General features: G+C 49.4%; 1 protein-coding gene across 8 annotated transcripts in view, besides 4 other annotated features; it reads right to left on the reverse strand.

The window, feature by feature from the left end:
* The window catches only part of HIP1 (huntingtin interacting protein 1), a 205,644-nt gene that overhangs the window by 65,716 nt on the left and 118,549 nt on the right, over nt 1-21,379 (reverse strand). For 6 of the 8 annotated variants that reach the window (NM_001243198.3, XM_011516116.3, NM_005338.7 and 3 more), the window contains exon 2: nt 171-234. In NM_001243198.3, coding sequence (NP_001230127.1) covers nt 171-234 — 64 coding nt within the window. Of the gene's footprint in view, nt 1-170; nt 235-12,652; nt 12,804-21,379 lie in introns of those variants that run through there. The other 2 variants (XM_047420294.1, NM_001382445.1) reach the window with 1 other exon arrangement.
* Nucleotides 3,911-4,861: an enhancer, noted in NCBI's record as "H3K27ac-H3K4me1 hESC enhancer chr7:75232242-75233192 (GRCh37/hg19 assembly coordinates)". NCBI's record gives its function as "activates a minimal SCP1, AML or CMV promoter by ChIP-STARR-seq in naive H9 embryonic stem cells {active_cell/tissue: H9 hESC(naive)}" and the evidence as "EXISTENCE:reporter gene assay evidence [ECO:0000049][PMID:30033119]".
* Nucleotides 9,345-9,545: a silencer, noted in NCBI's record as "peak6604 fragment used in MPRA reporter construct". NCBI's record gives its function as "represses an SCP1 promoter by STARR-seq MPRAs in K562 erythroleukemia cells {active_cell/tissue: K562}" and the evidence as "EXISTENCE:reporter gene assay evidence [ECO:0000049][PMID:32103011]".
* Nucleotides 12,446-13,019: an enhancer, noted in NCBI's record as "H3K27ac-H3K4me1 hESC enhancer chr7:75240777-75241350 (GRCh37/hg19 assembly coordinates)". NCBI's record gives its function as "activates a minimal SCP1, AML or CMV promoter by ChIP-STARR-seq in primed H9 embryonic stem cells {active_cell/tissue: H9 hESC(primed)}" and the evidence as "EXISTENCE:reporter gene assay evidence [ECO:0000049][PMID:30033119]".
* Nucleotides 18,308-18,809: an enhancer, noted in NCBI's record as "H3K27ac hESC enhancer chr7:75246639-75247140 (GRCh37/hg19 assembly coordinates)". NCBI's record gives its function as "activates a minimal SCP1, AML or CMV promoter by ChIP-STARR-seq in naive H9 embryonic stem cells {active_cell/tissue: H9 hESC(naive)}" and the evidence as "EXISTENCE:reporter gene assay evidence [ECO:0000049][PMID:30033119]".

Here is a 21,379-nt window from a genome sequence, read left to right on the forward strand (position 1 = left end):
CTCTGCAGCCAGCCCTCTCTGAGAAGCTGCCGTCATCAGAAGCTGCAGGGACCTGGCCTGTGCAGGGTTGCCCCTTCCTGGAGCTGAGCAAGGCAGCCTGGCCCTGACCTCAGTCCCCATGAGCTGACCTCCCTCAGGGTCGGTCTTCCAAGCAACATCCAAAAGGATATTTCTGGCGTGTTTTTCCTTTACAGCCACTTCCTGCGTATTAATGGCCTTATTGATGCTGACAGTCTGAAAAACAAGAAGGGGGGAGGGAAAGGAGGATGAGATGAATAAGCCTCTGAGAGTGGCTGAGACCCTCCCAGATGCCCGCCCCTTTCTCCTCCTCCAGCCAACCTCCCCCAGCCCCACGGGTGGTCGGTTCCTCTGCAGGCGCCCAGCTGGGGGCAGAGGTGGGCAGCGCTCCCAGGAGCCAGCTGGCTGGGCCGTCCTGAGGGAGTGGGCACCACTGCCTGGCATTGGCTGTGCCCAGCTGCTGCTCCCGCCTGCCACTCACTCCCTTGGCACAACAACATGGCAATTAAAGCCCGCACAAAGAGATGCTTTTCATCCCCCAGGGAAACATTATTTCTCCCGGAGCAGGAGGAAGAGGCGCAGAGATCAGGGAGCGACCGTGGCCCAAGAGCATCCAGCTGCCCCTCTCTCCCCTCCAAACCTTCCACAGAGCCTTCTCCGGCTGGCCAGCACCGGCGGTGGTCACTAAGTCTTTGTTTTCCCACACTCTTGGGCATTTTCCAACTTCTAAGCAAATTCCCTTGTACTTCCTTAATGACATCAAGGGACATTAAACATTCCCTCTCAATCGTTTTTAAAATCGTTAACTTTTTTTTTTTTTTTTTTGAGGAGTCTCGCTCTGTCACCCAGGCTGGAGTGCAGTGGCCCGATCTTGGCTCACTGCAACCTCTGCCTCCCGGGTTCAAGCGATTCTCCCGCCTCAGCCTCCCGAGTAGCTGGGCCTACAGGCACCCGCCATCAAACCCGGCTAATTTTTGTATTTTTAGTAGAGACGTGGTTTCACCATGTTGGTTGGCCAGGCTGGTCTCGAGATCCTGACCTCAGGTGATTTGCGAACCCCAAAGTTCTGGGATTACAGGCCTTGTTTTTTTCTCTTTTGAGCGGAGTCTTACTCTGTCGCCCAGGCTAGAGTGCAGTGGTGTGATCGTGGCTCACTGCAACCCCTGCCTCCTGTGTTAAAGCAATTCTCCTGCCTCAGCCTCCCGAGTAGCTGGGATTACAGGTGTGCACTACCATGCCCAACTAATTTTTGTATTTTTAGTACAGACGGGGTTTCGCCATGTTGGCCAGGCTGGTCTCGAACTTCTGACCTCAAATGATCCTCCCACCTCTGCCTCCCAAAGTGCTGAGATTACAGGCGTGAGCCACTGTGCCCGGCCAAATCATAACTCTTTTTAATTTTGCAAAGTGCATATACATAGGAGTACCATTTGCACAAACACAGAAAAGGGATTATATCATGTAGGCTGTTTTCTTAGGTACAGATTTTCTCCTTTTTCTGTTTTGATGTCATTCTATCCCTATAACCCATGTTAAAAACCTGTTATGTATCACATACATACACCCACACATACACATAAATACCTACATACTGAAGAGGTTAATTTTGCCATTGTTCTACAAAAATTAGATTGTCATATATAGACTTCTCTACATCTTGGTTTTCTTGAATGTATCTCCCGGAAAATTCTGCAAAGGGGCTGAAAAAACTCTAGTTTTTATTATTATTATTATTATTTTTCGTCCTGAGACAGGGTCTTTTTCTGTCCCCTAAGCTGATGTGCAGTGGCACAATCATGGCTCACCACAGCCTCCAACTCCTGGGCTCTAGCGATTCTCCTGCCTCAGCCTCCTGAGTAGCTGGGATTACTGGCGAATGACACCATGCTCAGTTATTTTCATTTTTGGTAGAGACGGGGTCTCACTATGTTGCCCAGGCTGGTCTCAAACTCCTGGCTTCAAGTGATCCTCCCACCTCAGCCTCCCAAAACACTGGGATTACAGGCATGAGCCACTGTCCCCAGCCAGGAATTACCTTTAAACTTTTAGGTGTGATAAATATGTTGTGGTTAATTTTTAAAGAGTTTGTTTTTTTTTTAAACAGGTTCATTCTGAAATATTTACTGGCAAGATGATACAATGTCTAAGATTTACTTCAAATAATCTGGAGAATAAAAAGTCTGGTGGTTGATGGTATAGACCCACGGATCAGCAAACTACAGTTACAAGCCACAACCAGACCAGACTAACACCTGGTTTTGAAAATAAAGCTTATGGCCGGGCACAGTGGCTCATGCCTGTAATCCCAGCACTTTGGGAGGCCAAGGTGGGTGGATCACCTGAGGTCAGGAGTTTGAGACCAGCCTGGCCAACATGGTGAAACCCCATCTCTACTAAAAATACAAAAATTAGCTGGGCGTGGTGACGGGCGCCTGTAATCCCAGCTACTTGCTACTCGGGAGGCTGAGGCAGGAGAATTGCTTGAACCTGGGAGGCAGAGGTTGCAGTGAGCCGAGATTCCACAATTGCACTCCAGCCTGGCTGAGAGAGCTCTCAGCGACAACAAAACTCTCAACAACAACAACAAAAAAAAAAAGAAAAAGAAAGAAAGAAAGAAAAGAAATCTTATTAGAATTCACCCACTCTCATGCATTTACGTATTCATTTAATATCAGCTGAGGCTGCTTCTGCATTACAAAGGCAGAGTTGAATGGTTGCGATGGAGACCATGCGGCCTGCAAAGCCTAAAATATTTACTAACTGGCTCTTTGCAGAAAATGCTGACCCCTTGTCCATAGGATATATGTTTGGCCACAAGTTCCTTGTTGATGCTGGGGCTATACCAGGGCTTCTTGGACTAGTCTTCATATTTGTATACGTTTGAACTTTTCTATAATGAAAGGTTAAAAAAAAAAACTTTGACCCAGTAATCTCACTCCTAGGAATCTATCCTTTGGAAATAAAAACTTTTTTTTTTTTTTTCTGTTTAGACAGAGTCTCACTCTGTTGCCCAGGCTGGAGTGCAGTGGCATGATCTCAGCTCACTGCAAACTCCGCCTCCTGGGTTCAAGCGATTCTCCTGCCTCAGCCTCCCAAGTAGCTGGGACTACAGGCGCATGCCACCATGCCTGGCTAATTTTTATATTTTTAGTAGAGACAGGGTTTCGCTATGTTGACCATCCTGGTCTCGAACTCCTGACCTCAAGTGATCCACCCGCCTCGGCCTCACAAAGTGCTGGGATTACAGGCGTGAGCCACAGCACCTGGCCAGCTTTTTTTTTTTTTTTTTTTTTTTTTTTTTCAAAAGAGATAGGGTTTCGCTGTCTTGCTATGTTGCCCAGGCTGGCGGGACTTGAACACTTGGATTCCAGTGATCCTCCTACCTCAGCCTCTCAAGTAGCTGGGACTATAGCTGCACACTGCCACATCCAGCTGCTGTTTTTCTAAATTCTCAGATATGCTCTTTTTTTTTTTTTTTTTTTTTTTTTTTGAGACGGAGTCTCGCTCTGTCACCAGGCTGGAGTGCAGTGGCGTGACCTCGGCTCACTGCAACCTCTGCCTCCTGAGTTCAAGCGATTCTCTCACCTCAGCCTCCCGAGTAGCTGGGACTACAGGCGCCTGCCACCACGCCCAGCTAATGAATATGTTCTTAAATTCATATCTCCTTATATATTTTCTTCTCCTGACCAGACTTGATTTTTAAACAGTATAACCTCTGTTGTAAGTTGAATTGTATACCCCCGCCCCACAAAAATATATAATCACGCCCAACCCCCCCCACCCCGTACCTATGAATATGATCTTATTTACAAATAGGGCATTTGCAGATGTAATTAGTTAAGATGAGGTCACACTGGAGTAGGGTCATATTATGGAATGTAATATGACTGGTGATCCTCGAAGAAGATGTAGGGATCCAGAGACACACAGGGAGGATGCTGCATGAAATGAGACAGAGATGAGTGATGAGTCTACAAGCCAAGGAATGCCAAGGACAGCCAGCGGCCACGAGAAGCTAGAAAGAATCCTTCCCGGCCGGGCGCAGTGACTCACACCTGTCATCCCAGCACTTTGAGAGGCAGAGGCGGGAGGATCACCTGAGGTCAGGAGTTCAAGACCAGCCTGGCCAACACAGCGAAACCGTGTCTCTACTAAAAAATACAAAAATTAGCTGGGTGTGGTGGTGTGTGCCTGTAGTCCTAGCTATTAGGGAGGTTGAGGCAGGTGGATTGCTTAAGCCCAGGAGGTTGAGAGTGCAGTAAGCAGTAATCACGCCACTGCACTCCAGCCTGGGTGACAGAGCGAGACTCTCAAAAAAAAAAAAAAAAATGGAGCCTTTCCTAGAGCTTTCAGAGACAGTATTGCCCTACCTTGCAAGACGGTGAGAGAATGCAGCCACCCAATTAGTGGGAATTTGTTGACAGCCCCAGGAAACTAATTACAGGGTCCTTTCCCCATCAGATGGGGTCCTCTGGGAGGACAAGAATGACATGCGATGCTTCCCCTACAGCACATGATTTGGGGCTCTCCTGAGCACAGTCGTTGGCTCTGCAGGGTGAGCGTAAGAGCAGTCAGGAAGGAATCTCTGGCCAGCACTTTGGGAAGCTGAGGTGGGAGGATCGCTTAAGGCCAGGATTTTGAGATCAGCCCGGACAACATGGTGAAACCCTGTCTCTACAAAAAATACAAAAATTAGCCAGGTGTGGTGGTGCACAACTGTAGTCCCAGCTACTAGGGAGGTTGAGGTGGGAGGATCGCTTAAGCCCAGCAGGCAGAGGTTGCAGTGAGCCGTGATCGCCCCCACTGCATTCCAGCCTGGGCAACAGAGCAAAAACCCTGTCTCAAAAAAAAGGAAAAAAAAAAAGATGCAAGTAAGAAGTGAAAAGTTCATTCCCCTAAACCTCTCCATGAAGCAGTACTTCTCTCCTATGGAGACGCAGTGCTTACAGCTTCCTCTTAGCACGTCCTTCCCTGGACCTTAGTCCTCAGTGACAGAACTGTCCCAAGCACTGTCTTCCCTGTACATTTCCTCAAGTGCATTACAGCCGTTTAAACTATGTTCTTCCCCTGGCACCATAGGCCAGGGGCACCATGACATAGGCTGGGGCACCATGACAATGGCAAAATTCTGGCTGCAGACAGACCCCTGGGCAAAGTCTCCATACTTCCGGAGCCCATCAAGGTTGTCTGCAGTCAGAAAGGACTTACAAGGCATATAAACACATAGAAGGACAAGAAACCCAAATCTGTAAGATGCTGACCTGGACATGGTTAAGTTCCAGGGGGTTTGGGAAGGCCTGTAAGGAATATGGGCCGTGAGGAAGAGGACCACACCAGGTAGTTGGAAATGCTAGAAATGGGGCTGGATGTGGTGGCTCATGCCTGTAATCCCAGTACCTTAGGAGACTCAGGTGGGAAGATCACTTCAGGACAGGAGTTCAAGACCAGCCTGGGCAACATAGTGAGACCTCATCCCTACAAAATATTAGCTGGGTATGGTGGCATGCGCCTGTATTCCCAGCTACTCTGGAGACTGAGGTGGGAGGATTACTTGAGCGATCCAGGCATTGGAGGCTGCAGTGAGCTGAGATTGCATCACTATGCTCGTCTGAATGACAGAGCAAGACCTTGTCTTAGAAAAGAAGGAAGAAGGAAGGAAGGAAGGAAGGGAGGGAGGGAGGGAAGAAAAATGGTAGAAACTGCTTCAGGGCCTCTAGGGAGGACCCATGATGGGTGAGATTTAGATTTACCCTAAAAATAACTGTTCCTACTGCTTGACCAATTGCTCAAACTTGTGGTCATTATGAACCTTGCTCACACACACACGCAAAAATCTTATAGTAACAAATTTTTAAAATCTTTAAAATTCCCATAAGCCACGTAAAATAATATACCGTGAGTTTGTGACTATGGATCCACTGAGTGTGTGTGTATAGCTGAGAATCAGGAAAGTTCTGTGCTGTAGTGTTGAAAGGAGAGAGAAACCTTTTAAACTGAGACACTGCTCAAGGAAGACTTCTTAAAGGGAAAGGAGGGATAACTCGGCCCAGCTACTGTCCCAGCCATTACCCACTTCTGTCATATATGCCTCATAGGAACTCTGGGGTCTGGAGGGCTGTTGTTCAGAAAGGTGGAGAAACTCACCCAAGGTCATGCTCTTTGGTTCCAAGCCCTGAACCAGCACCCGCTCTGTACTGTGGAGGGGTTCGGGCCTGCAGGGGACTGGGTCTGGGGTTCTGGACACAGATGACAGGCCTTCTGGGCAGAGGAAGTGCCACAAGTAAAGGCACCAAAGTGGAAGGGCATGGAGCATGCAGCCTGAGGGCCGGGGGGGATGGAGGAGAAGCCAGGAGGCAGGTGAGGCTGCGTGTGGGAGGCCAGTGGGCTTCTGAGTGGCAAGAAGAGATGACAGCAGGTGGAGGGGAATGGGCCAGCAGTGGCGGCAGCTGGGGTAGAGCTGGATGGAGCCTGGAGGTGAGAATTCAGGGAGGAAGCTATTTTTGTTGTTGTTGTTGTTTTGAGACGGAGTCTTGCCCTGTCGCCCAGGCTGAAGTGCAATGGCGCAATCTTGGCTCACTGCAACCTCCACCTCCTGGGTTCGAGTGATTCTCCTGTCTCAGCCTCCGAAGTAGCTGGGATTATAATAGTTGCACATTACCACGCCTGGCTAATTTTTGTATTTTTAGTAGAGACAGGGTTTTGCCATGTTGGCCAGGCTGTTCTCAAACTCCTGTCCTGAGGTGATCCCCCTGCCTTGGCCTCCCAGTGTTGGGATTAGAGGCGTGAGCTACCGCGCCTGGCTGTATTTTTATTTAATCAATTATTATTATTTTTTGGAGACAGGGTCTTGCTCTGTCACCCAGGCTGGAGTGCAGTGGTGCAATCATAGCTTACTATAGCCTCAACCTCCTGGGTTCAGGCAATCCTCCCACCTCAGCTTCCTGAGTAGCTGGGACCACAGGCACATACCACTATGCCTGGCTAGTTGGTTTTTTTAAATAGAGACGGGGTCTCATTATGTTGCCCAGGCTGGTCTTGAACTCCTGGCCTCAAGCAATCCTATTGCTTCAACCTCCTAAAGTGCTGGGCTTATAGGTGTGAGACACCATGCCCAGCCAGAAGCTATTTAATAGCATAAAAGTACAGGAAAAATGGAATCAAAATGAAAGATGTGAGAATGGAAATGACCCAATATAATGTGAGCTGTAAAACGAGCTTCAGTAGGACTGGCAGATAGGAGCTCCGGGTTACAGGGAGACAGCAGAAGGATGCATCCATGGTGCCTCCAAGATGATGCAGAGACTTTAGGAGGCCGAGGGGGGCAGATCACCTGAGACCAGGAGTTCAAGACCAGCCTAGCCAACATGGTGAAACCCCATCTCTACTAAAATACAAAAATTAGCTGAGTGTGGTGGCTCATGCCTATAATCCCAGCTACTTGGGAGGCTGAGGCAGAATTGCTTGAACACGGGAGGTGCAGGTTGCAGTGAGCCGAGATCCCGCCATTGTACTCCTGCCTGGGCGACAGAGTGAGACTCCGTCTCAAAAAAAAAAAAGATGATGCAGAGGCTCTGGACCTAGATGAGGGGAGGATAGCAGCAAGGGCCACAAGCTGGGGAGACACTGTAAGAAAAGGACCCGAAGGAACAATGAACAATGAGGCCAGGCGGCTCTTGGGTAAGAAATAGCCATTTTTAAAAGAATGAGGAAGTGAACTAGCGGTAACGGTGGTGATAATTATCAAGCTGATGGCACTAATGAGTGCTTAGACCAGGCCCCTTTGTATGAATTATCTTATATAAAGTCTTACAACTCTACAACCTACCAGTAGACACTTAATAGTATTAATCAGCTCCATTCTGCAGATGAAGAAACCAAGGTACCTGAGATCTCTTAGGCTTAGAAAGGCTAAGTAAACCTGGGTGGGGTGGCTCATGTCTGTAATCCCAGCACTTTGGGAGGTTGAGGCTGGAGGATTGCTTGAGAACAGGAGTTTGAGACCAGCCTGGGCAATAGAGCGAGACCCCATCTCTAAAAAAAAATTTTTTTTTAAATAGCCAGGTGTGGTGGTGCACACCTGTAATCCCAGTACTTTGGGAGGCTTAGGTGGGAGGATTACTTGAGGCCAGGAGTTTCAGAACAGCCTGAGCAACACAGTAAGGCACCATCTCTACAAAAAAAAAAGAGTTGTTTTTTGTTTTGTTTTTTTTTTTTTTGAGACAGAGTCTTGCTCTGTTGCCCAGGCTGGAGTGCAGTGGTGTGATCTCAGCTCACTGCAACCTCTGCCTTCTGGGTTCAAGCGATTCTCCTGTCTCAGCTTCCCAGTAGCTGGGATTGCAGGTGCACACCACCAAGCCCGGCTAATTTTTGTATTTTTAGTAGAGATGGGATTTCACCATGTTGGTCAGGCTGGTCTTGAATTCCTGACCTCAGGTGATCCGCCCATCTTGGCCTCTCAAAGTGCTGGGATTACAGACATGAGCCACCATGCCCAGCCTAAAAAAAAAAAAAAAAAAAAAAATTTGTCAAGTGCGGTGGCCGTGCCTGTAGTCCCAGGTACTTGGGAGGCTGAGATAGGAGGATCACAGGAGGATCACTTGAGCCCAGGAGTTTGAAGCTGCTGTGAGCCATGATCACGCCACTGCACTCCAGCCTGGGGACCAGAGTGACACCCTATCTCTAAAATAAATAAATAAAAATAAAAAAAGAACTGCTAAGTAAACTGCCCAGGCCCGTAACATCAGCAAGTGTAGGGCGGGGATTCAGTCTTTGCAGTGTGACCAAGCTCAGGCTCAGGATCACAACCTCGGCACTAGACAAGGCCCTCTACACCACAGAGACACGATCAGAATCCACAGACTGGAAAAATGCATTAAAATTCACAAGATGAAATCCAGTAGGTACAAAGGAAATTTTCTATACTTAGGCCTAAACTCACTGGCACAAGGGAGCCGTGACTCAAAGCAGCACTTGTGAAAAGAATGAAGGTGTTTTGGCTGGGCACATGGCTCACGCCTGTAATCCTAGCACTTTGGGAGGCTGAGGTAGGTGGATCACGAGGTCAGGAGTTCAAGTTCGGCCTGGCCAAGATGGTGAAACCTCGTCTCTACTAAAAACACACAAAAAATTAGCCGGGCGTGGTGGTGGGCACCTGTAATCCCAGCTGCTCGGAAGGCTGAGGCAGAAAATTGCTTAAACCCGGGAGGCGGAGAACGCTGTGAGCCGAGATCACGCCACTGCACTCCAGCCTGGGTGACAGAGAGAAACTCCGTCTCAAAAGAAAACAAAAAAAAGAATTAAGGTGTTTTATTTGGCTGCTAACTTAATAATAGCAAGATTTTGATACGGTTGATGAACATGCAAGTCTGATCTCTCTGGATGCATTAAAAGGAGGGAACGTATGGTTCCAGTTCTCTACACAGATAAGGCCATGCGTGAAACACTATTCAGTTTCAGGCTTTATACATTATGAAGGAAACTAACAAGCTGGACCATTTCCAAAAAAGAGTGACCTGGATTGAAATGGACTTAAGATCTGAAGAAAATTTAGAGAAATATCAGTATTCTGAAGCGTGACCATCTGGAAGCAGGAAAAACTCCAGAGGCTTGAACCTAGACCAATGGGCAGAAGTCCAGAGAGGCAGTTTCTGGATGAACTTAAAGCTGTCTCATGAAAGAGAACTCCTCATTATTAGAAACACACATGCAGAAGAGAGGCAACCTCTCTGGGTTATTGTGAAAAAGATGGACAGGTTCAGATTACATTAGATGACTTCTAGGTCTCTTCCCATTTTTAGACTCTGAAACGGCTGATCAGATGACGGAGGGCTCTGGATATCAGGTCGAGGAAAACTGTGATCTGATGGGTACTGGGGATCCACAGAAGGCTCTTGAGCAGGGGAGGAACATGACACAAATGACCCTCTGTTCTCCTGAATGAGTTACTTCTCCAGTGTGCTAAGGAAAGTGGGGAACACCGTGGGAGTCACCGCCTCCCAGTATGAATCCAGTGCAACTGACAAGGACCTGGCCTAAGCACTGGCTTGTGGAAAGAAGTTTCTTCCTAAACCAGCGGCTACAAGGCACCTGTAAGCTCTGCCTGAGCTTGCCAGGACTGTCCCAGACCCTTCTCCTGCAGCTCTGGGGGGGCTCACAAGAGCTCTCAGGCACTGTCATCATCGTGCCCCAGTTCCCCAAGCAACACTTCATCATAGTGGCTGTACCCATGAGGCAGAGCCCACTCTATGGTTTGGGGCCCATTGCCGAGTCTGTGGCAAGGCTTCTTGGGGGCTCATTCTGGGTTCTAAGGCAACCTGTAGGTCCCCCAGGGGGCCAGGGAATGTCAGATACTGAGGGGTTTCCAGGGCAGAAGTTCCCTGCGAGGACCAGTTTCCCATGGCTCACTAACACTGTGTACCTGGGATACCACCTCTCCACCCCACCCTCCACCATACACGCTCCCTCTTCTTTCTACTTTCCAAACCCTGACCTCCTTCAAGCTCATACTCAACGGTACCGTTTTCTTTTTTTTTCTTTTTTTTTTTGAGAACAGAGTCTTGCCCTGTCGCCAGGCTGCAGTGCAGTGGCGCAATCTCGGCTCAGTGCAACCTCCTCCTCCCTGGTTCAAGTGATTCTTCTGCCTCAGTCTCCTGAGTAGCTGGGACTACAGGTGTGCGCCACCATGCCCAGCTAATTTTTATATTTTTAGAAGAGACGGGGTTTCACCATATTGGCCAGGATGGTCTCGATCTCTTGACCTCATGATCTTCCGCCTCGGCCTCCCAAGGTACCTTTATTTTTTTAAGACTTAACCAAGCTACTCAGGCCAACAATGTATTTTTCTCTCTTCCTTCTTTCTTTTCTCTTCTTTTCTTTTTTTTTTTTTTTTTGAGACAAAGTCTTGCTCTGTTGCCCAGGTTAGAGTGCAGTGGCACAATTTTGATTCATTGCAACCTCTGCTTCCTGAATTCAAGTGATTCTCCTGCCTCAGCCTCCGGAGTAGCTGGGATTATAGGCCCACACCACCACACCTGGCTAATTTTTGTATTTTTAGTAGAGACAGGGTTTCGCCATGTTGGCCAGGCTGGTCTTGAACTCCTGACCTCAGGTAATCCACCTGTCTCAGTTTCCCAAAGTGCTGGGATTACAGGCATGAGCCACCTCATCCAGCCCTTTTTTTTTTTTTTTTTTTATAAGAAACAGGGTCCTGTTCTGTCACCCAGGCTGGTGTGCAGTGATGTGATTATAGCTCACTGCAGCCTTGAACGCCTGTGCTCAAGTGATCCTCCAGCCTTAGCCTCCCGGGAAGCTGGGACTTCCAGGCATGTGCCACCACACCCAGCTAATTTTTTTGTATTTTTTGTAGAGATGGGGTCTCCCTGTGTTGCCCAGGCTGGTCTTGAACTCAGGCTCAAGTGACCCTCCCCCAACAGCCTCCCAAAGTACTGAGATAACAGTTGTGAGCCACCGCACCTGGCCTTTTTTTTCTCTTTTTTTGAATTCCTATTTCTCTTAATACGTTTGACACTGAGTATTACCTTCCCTCCCTACCCAGACTAGAATCCCAAGCACAAGGACCCTGCCTTCTCCTTTCCTGTAGGCCCACAGTCGCGAAGGCAGGTCATAAGTCCATAAGTCATCAGGACTGGCTGCTTCCCAGCACTCTCGCCTCTAAAGTGTACCAGGTAGAGGCCAGGCATGGTGGCTCATGCCTGTAATCCCAGCACTTTGAGAGGCCGAGGCAGGAGGATCTCTTGAGACCAGGAGTTCAAGACCAGCCTGGGCAACATGGTAAGATCCCATCACTATTAAAAAATATATATATATATTTATATATATTAAAATTTTATATATTATTTATATAAAATATATATATACTTTTTTTTTTGAGATGGGAGTTTCACTCCATTTGTCTCCCAAGCTGGAGTGCAGTGGTGTGAGCTTGGCTCACTGCAACCTCTGCCTCTCAGGTTCAAGTGATTCTCCTACCTCAGCTTCCCCAGTAGCTGGGATTACAGGTGCCCGCCACCATGTCCAGCTAATTTTTGTATTTTGTATTTTTTTTTTTAGTAGAGACAGGGTTTTACCATGTTGGCTAGGCTGGTCTTGAACTGCGCCTGTTCTATAAAATTTTTTTAGAAAGAGTCCCAGGTACGCCAGGTGCGGTGGCTCATACCTGTAATCTCAGCACTTTGGGAGGCTGAGATGGGCGGATTACTTGAGGTTCGGAGTTCAAGACCAGCCTGGCCAAAATGGCAAAACCTTGTCTCTACCAAAAATACAAAAAGTAGCCAGACATGGTGGTGCGTGCCTGTAGTCCCAGCCACTTGGGAGGCTGAGGCAGGAGAATCACTTGAACTGGGGAGGCGGAGGCTGCAGTGAGCTGAGATGGTGCCACTGCACTCCAGCCTGGGTGACAGAGTGAGACTCTGTCTCAAAAAAAAAAAAAAAGAAAAAAAAAAGTCCCAGGTATGTGATTCACAGTCTCTTGAGAAAATCTACTCCCTTCCCCTCCCGGCCCCAGGCTCTCTGAAGGACATCATTTGGTTCTGAACTGTTCCCGCCCCGCCACAGGCCAATGCCTGGGGGCCCCTCCCAGCACCAAGGGCGGGCAGTGCGGGGCTGGGTGTCTCACCTCTGGAGGGGGCTCTGGGTTAGGGAACATCATCTGAGAACAGGCTGTTCTCTGGACTTCCCTGGAGTCACACAGGACCTAAGACCAAGCCGTGTCTCCCCTGAAAGGGTGGCATTGTCCACCACTTCCTGACCCAGCAGGCCCTCGTGTCCCCGGCTGGTTCCGGAGAGCCAATTACCAGCAGGCACCGCAGGAAGGGCGCCTTTCTCCCAGCCTCTCTTCCTCCCTCCCCAGCACTCCCCATCCTCCGCTCGCCTGGGACAGCCCAGCCAGGCAGTGGCCAATGGGAAACCCTCTGGCCTTGCTTGTGTGGGGAGCTGGGCCTGGGCCTGGCCTGTGGGCCCAGTTGGACACTGTCAGGTCACATACACACAGCTCTTGGCAGAAGCCCAGCCCTCGGGCTGCCAAGGCCAGGCTGGCTCACAAAGGTCCCACGGCAGGAGCAGGCACGGGGATGTGCCCCGGGTGGGGGTGGCAGGTCCCCAGGCAAGGGGCCAGAGAAGGAAAACCTGAGAACAGGCAGCACAGATGGGAAAGGAGAAGGGCAAAACAAAGGCAGAGGAGGCCGGGCACGGTGGCTCCACCTGTAATCCCAGCACTTTGGGAGGCGGAGGTGGGCGGATCACCCAAAGTCAGGAGCTCCAGACCAGCCTGGCCGACATGGTGAAATCCCATCTCTACTAAAAATACAAAATTAGCCAGGGGTGGTGGCGCGTACCTGTAGTCCCAGCTACTCAGGAGGCTGAGGCAGGAGAATCACTTGAACCCACGAGGTGGAGGTTGCAGTGAGCCGAATTCGCGCCACTGCACTCCAGCCTGGGTGACGAGAGAAACTCTGTCTCACAAAAAAAATAAAATAAAGGCTGGGCGCGGTGGCTCATGCCCGTAATCCCTGAACTTTGGGAGGCCGAGGCGGGTGGATCACCTGAGGTCAGGAGTTCAAGACCAGCCTGACCAACATGGTGAAACCCTATCTCTACTAAAAATACAAAAATTAGCCAGGCCTGGTGGTGGGCGCCTGTAATTCCAGCTACTCAGGAGGCTGAGGCAGGAGAATCGCTTGAACCCAGGAGATGGAGGTTGCAGTGAGCTGAGATCGTGCCATTGCACTCCAGCCTGGGCAACAAGAGTGAAACTCCATCTCAAATAATAATAATAATAATTTTTTTAAAAAGAGGCTGTAATCCCAGTACTTTGAGAGGCCGAGGCAGGCAGATCACTTGAGGCCAGGAGTTCAAGACAAGCCTGGCCAACATGGTGAAACTCCGTCTCTACTAAAAATACAAAAATTAGCTGGGCATGGTGGCAGGTGCCTGTAATCCCAGCTACTCAGGAGACTGAGGTGGGAGGATGGCTTGAGCCCAGAAGTTCAAGGTTGCAGTGAGCTATGATCATACCACTGCACCACTCCAACTTGGGTCACACACACACACACACACACATGCACACAAAAGAAAGAAAAGAAAACTAGAAAGAAAGAAAAGAAAATTGGCCATGGCAGGTTGCAGTACAGGTGGCAATAGCTCAGGTTAACAGCTGGGACCTACCACCTGAGTGAGGATGACAGGGAGAGTACAGAACCAAATGGAGATCAGGTGAGCCTGGGAGAGTAGAGGGACAGGTGAGGCATGAAAGCCAAACAGAGCGTCCCCACCGTGGGGAGCCTTCTGTGCTCCGTGAGACTGCTCTGGTCCTAGCTACAACACTTGGAATTTGCTGCCCAACATCAGGGTCTTTTTAATTCTTCTCTTGATCAAAAATAATAATAATCATCATAGAGCCATTGTCACCAGATTAGTGGTAGTAGCAGGAGCCACTGACCCTCACTTGGGCCTCTTCCTCCTCCCAGGCACTGCACTGGTAATTTACTTCTCATCCGCCTTTGGTCCCTAGAGGGCAAGAAATCTGGGCCCCTATTTTCCAAGACAAGCTACTTGCAAGTAGTACAGCCAGCAAGAAGTGGAGCCAGAATTCAAACCCAGGTCCATCTGAGAGCGCCTCCTCTCCCACACCGTGCTGCCTTCTGTAACTGCCAGGGTCCAACACAAACCTGTTGCCAACCAACGTCCTCCACCCTACTGTCTGCCTCACCTTCTGTTGCCCAGGCTGGAGTACAGTGGTGCAAACGTGGCTCACTACAGCCTCAACCTCCTGGATTCGAGCAATCTCCCATCTCAGCCTCCCAGGCAGCTGAGACGACAGGTGCATGCCACCACACCTGGCTAATTTTTAAATTCTTTTGTAGAGATGGGGTTTGCTATGTTGCCTAGGCAGGGTCTCCCTCTGTTGCCCAGGCTGGAGTACAATGGTGCAAACATGGCTCACTACAACCTTAACCTCCTGGGTTCAAGCAATCCTCCCATCTCAGCCTCCCAGATAGCTGAGACGACAGGTGTATGCCACCACACCTGGCTAATTTTTAAATTCCTTTGTAGAAATGGGGTTCACTGTGTTGCCTAGGCAGGTCTCAAACTTCTGGCCTCAAGTGATCCTCCTGCCTCAGCCTCCTGAGTAGCTGGGATTATAGGCACATGCCACCACACCCAGCTAATTTTTGTAGAGACGGGGTCTTACTATGTTGCTCAGGCTGGTCTGAAACTCCTGGGCTCAAGCGCTTTGGCTGTCCCAGCCTCCCAAAGTGCTGGGACTACAGGCATGAGCCATGCGCTGGGCCCTAAAATGGTGAATTTTATGGTATGTATATTTTACCACCACACACACACATAGACACACACACACACACACAGTTACAAGGTAGATAAGCCTCCAAAACATGCTACATGAAAGAAACCAGACATGAAATGGGACACAATGTGTGATTCTATTTGTATGAAGTGCTCAGAATGGGCAGATCCATAGAGACAGAGAGCTGACTGGTGGCCACTGGGGCCTGGTAGGAGAGGGGTGGGGAGTGATTGCTTAATGGGAACAGGGTTTCCTTTACGGATAGTGAAAATGTTCTGAAATTAAACAGTCATGTCGGTTGCACGACATAGCGAATGTGCCAGATGTTGCTTAATTATACACTTGAATTTGTTACAATAGCGAATTTCATGTTATATGTATTTTGTCACAGGAAAAAAAAAGATAAAAAACACTGAGAAACTGATTTTTTTTTCTTTTTCTGAGACGGAGTCTCACTCTGTCACCCAGGCTGGAGTGCAGTGGCGCGATCTCGGCGCATTGCAACCTCTGCCTCCCGGGTTCAAGTGATTCTCCTGCCTCAGCCTCCTGATAGCTGGGATTACAGGCACCCACCACCCCGCCTGGCTAATTTTTGTATTTTTAGTGGAGACGGGGTTTCACCATGTTGGCCTGTCTTGTCTCGAACTCCTGACCTCAAGTGATCCACCTGCCTCGGCCTCCCAAAGTGCTGGGATTACAGGCATGAGCCACCACGCTGGCCTGAGAAACTGATTTTACTGAATACCTACTACACGCAGGGCAAGGCTGCCACACAGATAGTAAGGCTCTTTGCCATACAACCACAAGAGGGCCTTTCACAGACAGTTGTGGACAGCCATGCACCTGCACATGGCTGCCAGGATCCAGGGCACCACACCAGGGGCTGTGAGAGAGCACACAGATGATAGGAAGTGGACCCTGTGGCCAGGTGTGGCAGCTCATGCCTGGAATCCCAGCACTTTGAGAGGCCGAGGCAGGAGGATCACTTGAGGCCTGGAGTTCAAGACCAGCCTGGGCAACATGGTAAGACCCCATCTCTACAAAAAATGAAAATTTAGCTGGGGATGGTGGTATATCTGTAGTGGTGGCTACTTGGGAGGCTGAGGCAGGAGGATTGCTTGAGCCCAGGAGTTGGAGGCTGCAGTGAGCTATGACTGTGCCACTGCACTCTATCATGAATGACAGATGGAGACCCTGACTCCCCACCCTTAAAAAAGGTGGATCTTGTCCTCAAAGGGACAAAGACTGTACTACTCCTTCCTGTCCTTTCCTTCCTTCTCCTCTGACTGTGCTTATGCCTGTAATCCCAACACTTTAGGAGATTGAGGTGGAGGATCGATTGAGCCCAGGAGGTGGAGGTTGCAGTTGAGCCGAGATTGTGCCACTACACTCCAGCCTGGGTGACACAGCGAGACTCTGTCTCAAAAAACAAAAACAAAAACAAACAAAAAATGGCCAGGCGCGGTGGCTCATGCCTGTAGTCCCAGCACTTTGGGAGGCTGAGGCAGGCGGATCACCTGAGGTCAGGAATTTGAGACCAGCATGGTCAATATGATGAAACCTCGTCTCTACTAAAAATACAAAAATTAGCTGGGTGTGATGGTGCGCACCTGTAGTCCCAGCTACTCAGCAGGCTGAGGCAGGAGAATCGCTTGAACCTGGGATGTGGAGGTTGCAGTGAGCTGAGATCACACCACTGCACTCCAGCCTGGGCGACAGAGTAAGACTCTGTCTCAAAAAAAAAAAAAAAAAAAAAGAAAAGATAAGAAAAGAAAAGAAAACAAAAACAAAAACAAAGTATCTCGTAACATCGTCCTAGACAAGAATGAGAAAGGACAGGCTGCTAGGGGTCCAAACCACCGCCCACCAGCCAAACCTGGCCTCAGCCTGCTTGTGCATGGCCTGTGAGCTAGGACTGGTTTTTGTGTTCTTGTTTAGGGACAGAGTCTTGCTCTGTTGCCCAGGCTGCAGTGTAGTGGTACGATCATAGCTCACTACAGCCTTGAACTCCTGGGTTCATGCAATCGTCCCACCTCCACCTCCCAAGTAGGTGGGCCTACAGGTGCGCACCACCACGCCAGGCTAATTAAAAAATTTTTTTTTGTAGAGACCGGGTCTCACTTTGTTGCCCAGGCTGGTCTTGAGCTCCTGGCTTCTAGCGATCCTCCCACCTTAGCCTCCCAAAGTGCTGGAATTACCGGCGCTAGCCACCATGCCTGGCTTTTTAAGGGTGGGGAGGAGGAGGAGGAGGAGGAGGAGGAGGAAGAGGAGGAGGACGAGGAGGAGGAAGAAATAGTAGCAGCAGGAAGCCACAAAGCCAAAAACATTTACCATCTGGCCCTTTGCAGAAAATGTTTGCTGGCCCCTGGACTAGGCAGGGCAGCCTATGAGGGTGGATGTCCACACATACAGAGGCTGATTACTGGCCATCACTTTGGGGTAAGGCATGCTGGTGCCTGAGCCTGTGTCCTCCTCCTCATGTTTACCAGGGAGGTATATGTCAGGCACAGTGATTGATCTAACTGATGCTGGGAACAACAGTAACTACATTTAGATGACTATTTTTTTTTGTTTGGACAAGGTCTTGCTCTGTTGCCCAGGTTGGAGTGCAGTGGTGCAATCATGGCTCATTGCAGCCTCGACCTCCTGGGCTCAAGCAATCCTCCCACCTCAGCCTCCCAAAATAGTTGGGAGCACAGGTGCATGCCACCACACCCAGCTAATTTTTTTTTTTTTTTTTTTTGAGATGGAGTTTTGCTCTGTCACCTGGCTGGAGTGCAATGGCGTGATCTCAGCTCACTGCAACCTCCGCCTCCCCGGCTCAAGCGATTCCCTTGTCTCAGCCTGCCAAGTCGCTGCGATTACAGGCACCCACCATCACTCCCGGCTAATTTGTTTTGTAGTTTTTAGTAGAGACGGGGTTTCACCATGTTGACCAGGCTGGTCTTGAACTCCTGACCTCAGGTGATCCTCCTGCCTCGGCTTCCCAAAGTGCTGGGATTACAAGCGTGAGCCACCGCACCCAGCCACTAATTTTTTATTATTTGTAGAGGTGAGGATCTCCCTGTGTTGCCCAGGCTGGTCTCGAACTCCTGGCCTCAAGCCATCCTCCTGCAGCGGCCTCCCAAAGTGCTGGGATTACAGGCGTGACCCACCGCGCCCAGCCTCAGCCTGGTTCCTTGCGTGAGTCTTGGTTTCTTGGTCTCCTTTTCCCCGTATGCCAGCTGCCTCCCTCCATAAGAGAACATCTGTGATGACCTTCGGGGTGCCCACTTAGGCTTTCAAAGGGGCCTGGAATGTAGGGCACAGGGTAAGAGACTCGGACACCAGGCCTTGGGGAAAAGGAGAAGCGGGCCCATATGCCCTCCTCTCACCCACAGGGAGCTGTGGCTTCGAAAGGGGCTCCTCCCTTGTAAGGCTGCTGCTCCTGTCGTCATGGAGGAAACCTTGGTTCTGCTTCCCTAGCACCCCAAACTGCAAAGTCACGCTGGCAGGTATTGCACCCAGAGGGCTCATTCCCCATTCATCATAGTCACTGGTTGGGCAAGTCACCCTCCCTAGAAAGCGCAGCCTTGGGTAAATCCACCAGACATATCCTGATCTTTCACTATTCACAGAGCCAGACTGGAGTGGCCTTTCGTAATGGCCCTGGCCAGAGCTCCCGGGGGAAGCCTTCCGGATAGGCAGCTTGTCAGCAAGAGTGGGAAACCCTGGGCTGCGCCCTCCCCACAAACCACCAGCATTGCCCAACTTCCTCTCTTCATGCCCTCTACCACCCTCTCGTTGCCCCAGCTTTCTTTCTTTCATTTTTTTTCTTGAGACACAGTTTCACTGTCACCCAGGCTGGAGTGCAGTAGTGTGATCTCGGCTCACTGCTACCTACCTCCACCTCCTGGGTTCAAGCGATTCTCACACCTTAGCCTCCCGAGTGGCTGGGATTACAGGCACGTGCCACCAACTCTGGCTAATTTTATATTTTTAGTAGAAACAGGGTTTCACCATGTTGGTCAAGCTGGTCTCAAACTCCTGACCTCAAGTGTTTCATCTGCCTCAGCCTCCCAAAGTGCTGGGATTACAGGTGTGAGCTACCACACGTGGCTAATTTTTGTATTTTCAGTAGAGATGGGGGTTTCACCATGTTGGCCAGGCTGGTCTTGAACTCCTGACCCCAGGTGACCTGCCCTCCTCAGTCTCCCAAAGTGCCGGGATTACAGGCATGAGCCACCGCACCCAGCTGTTTCCCCAGCTTTCTAACAGTGAGGTTAGTTTTGTCTCTTCTCTTTTATTAATATACTGCTACTTATCTCCAATGATCTGAAGACTCAAGGTGGGTGATGCCTGACTTACAGGAGATCCCCCAGCACGGGAACCATCCCTTATCCAGCTCTGGGTCTCTTGCAGTGTCCAATTTCTAGAAGTGACCTTTCTGTCAAGTGAATGAGCCAAGCCCCAGCCACATCCCAGCACTAGAAAACCTGATGCCTCTCCCTTGAGCACATCCTTTTTTTTTTCTTCCAAGTTTTTTTGTAGAGATGGGGTTTCACTATGCTGCCCAGGCTGGTCTCAACCTCCTGGGCTCCAGTGAGCCTCCCACCTTGGCCTCCCACCCAACATCCTTGACATCCCACCTTTTGTTCTATTTCTGCAGGAATCGCTGTGTGTAGAAAGAAAGCCTTTGGTCAGTGGTTCCCAGACTTGGCTAGGCCGGGATATCATCTGAGAATCCTGTACCCCGAGTTTGTACACACACCCCTAGATTCCTTTGCTCCACCCCCAAATTGGACTCATTTGGGCTCGGAAGGGCCCATGGCACTGTTAATTCAGGTGATGTTACAGAAGAACATTGTATGTCAGAGTCTAAGAAAAAATTCAGCTAAAAGTAAAAACAGTGGCCGGGCACAGTGGCTCATGCCTGTAATCCCAGCACTTTGGGAAGCCCAGGTGGGCGGATCACTTGAGGTCAAGAGTTTGAGACCAGCCTGGCCAACATGGTGAAACCCCATCTCTACTAAAAATACAAAAATTAGCCAGGTGTGGTGGCGTGTGCCTGCTGTAATCCCAGCTACTCGGGAGTCTGAGGCAGGAGGATTGCTTAAACCCAGAAGGCAGAGGTTGCAGTGAGCCGAGATCACTCCAGCCTGGGCGACAGAGCAAGACTTTGTCTCAAAAAAAAAAAAAAAAGAGAAGAAAAACAGTAACAAAAAGGAAGAATGAGAGCAAAGAATAAAGATGGTGGAAATGTGAAGAATGAAGTCAGTTTCTCAGCTCAGACAAGTATACCTTGATGTAAGTAAATTTTTTTCTGGAAAATGTGAATTGCCACTAAGGCCAAATTAGGAGATTATTATTCATTTCACAGAAGACATTGGCATTCGATACCCTTAAATAGCAATCTCCGTTAGTACATTTAAGAGAGGATTCAGTTTACAGAAGTGTGATTTATACAAAACCACATCTGTTACATAAAGCTCAGAAAAATAGCTCTCCTCCCATGTCATCTTGCTAACTATAGAACTGGCCCAGTATAGATGGTCACCTATTTTCTTCTAAAAGATACCACCCCTGCTCTCTGTCATCTATTTCTGTTTCACCGTGATCACGGGTAACAGATTCTTAGGGGCCACCCAGATCTCTCTCTGGTCTTCCCTAAACTCAGGGAACAACTGCTCTGAATTGTTTTCATATTCACTCATTCATTCGACATATATTTCTGGAAGGCCTATCATATGCCTGGCACTACTCTAGAAATACAGTGAGGGTGCGGTGGCTCATGCCTGTAATCCCAGCGCTTTGGGAGGCCAAGGTGGGTGGATTGTTTGAGCCCAGGAGTTCAAGACCAGCTGGGGGCAACATGGTGAAACCCTGTCTCTACAAAAATACAAGAAATTATCCAGGCGTGGTGGTGCATGCTTATAGTTCCAGCTACTTGGGAGGCTGAGGTGGGAGGATCACCTGAGCTCAGGAGGCAGAAGTTGCAGTGAGCCAATATTGCGCCACTGTACACCAGCCTGGGCAACAGAGCAAGACCATGTCTTTAAAAAA

Source organism: Homo sapiens, chromosome 7 (genome assembly GCF_000001405.40).
Source record: "Homo sapiens chromosome 7, GRCh38.p14 Primary Assembly".
In the NCBI taxonomy this organism is placed as follows: Eukaryota; Metazoa; Chordata; class Mammalia; order Primates; family Hominidae; genus Homo; species Homo sapiens.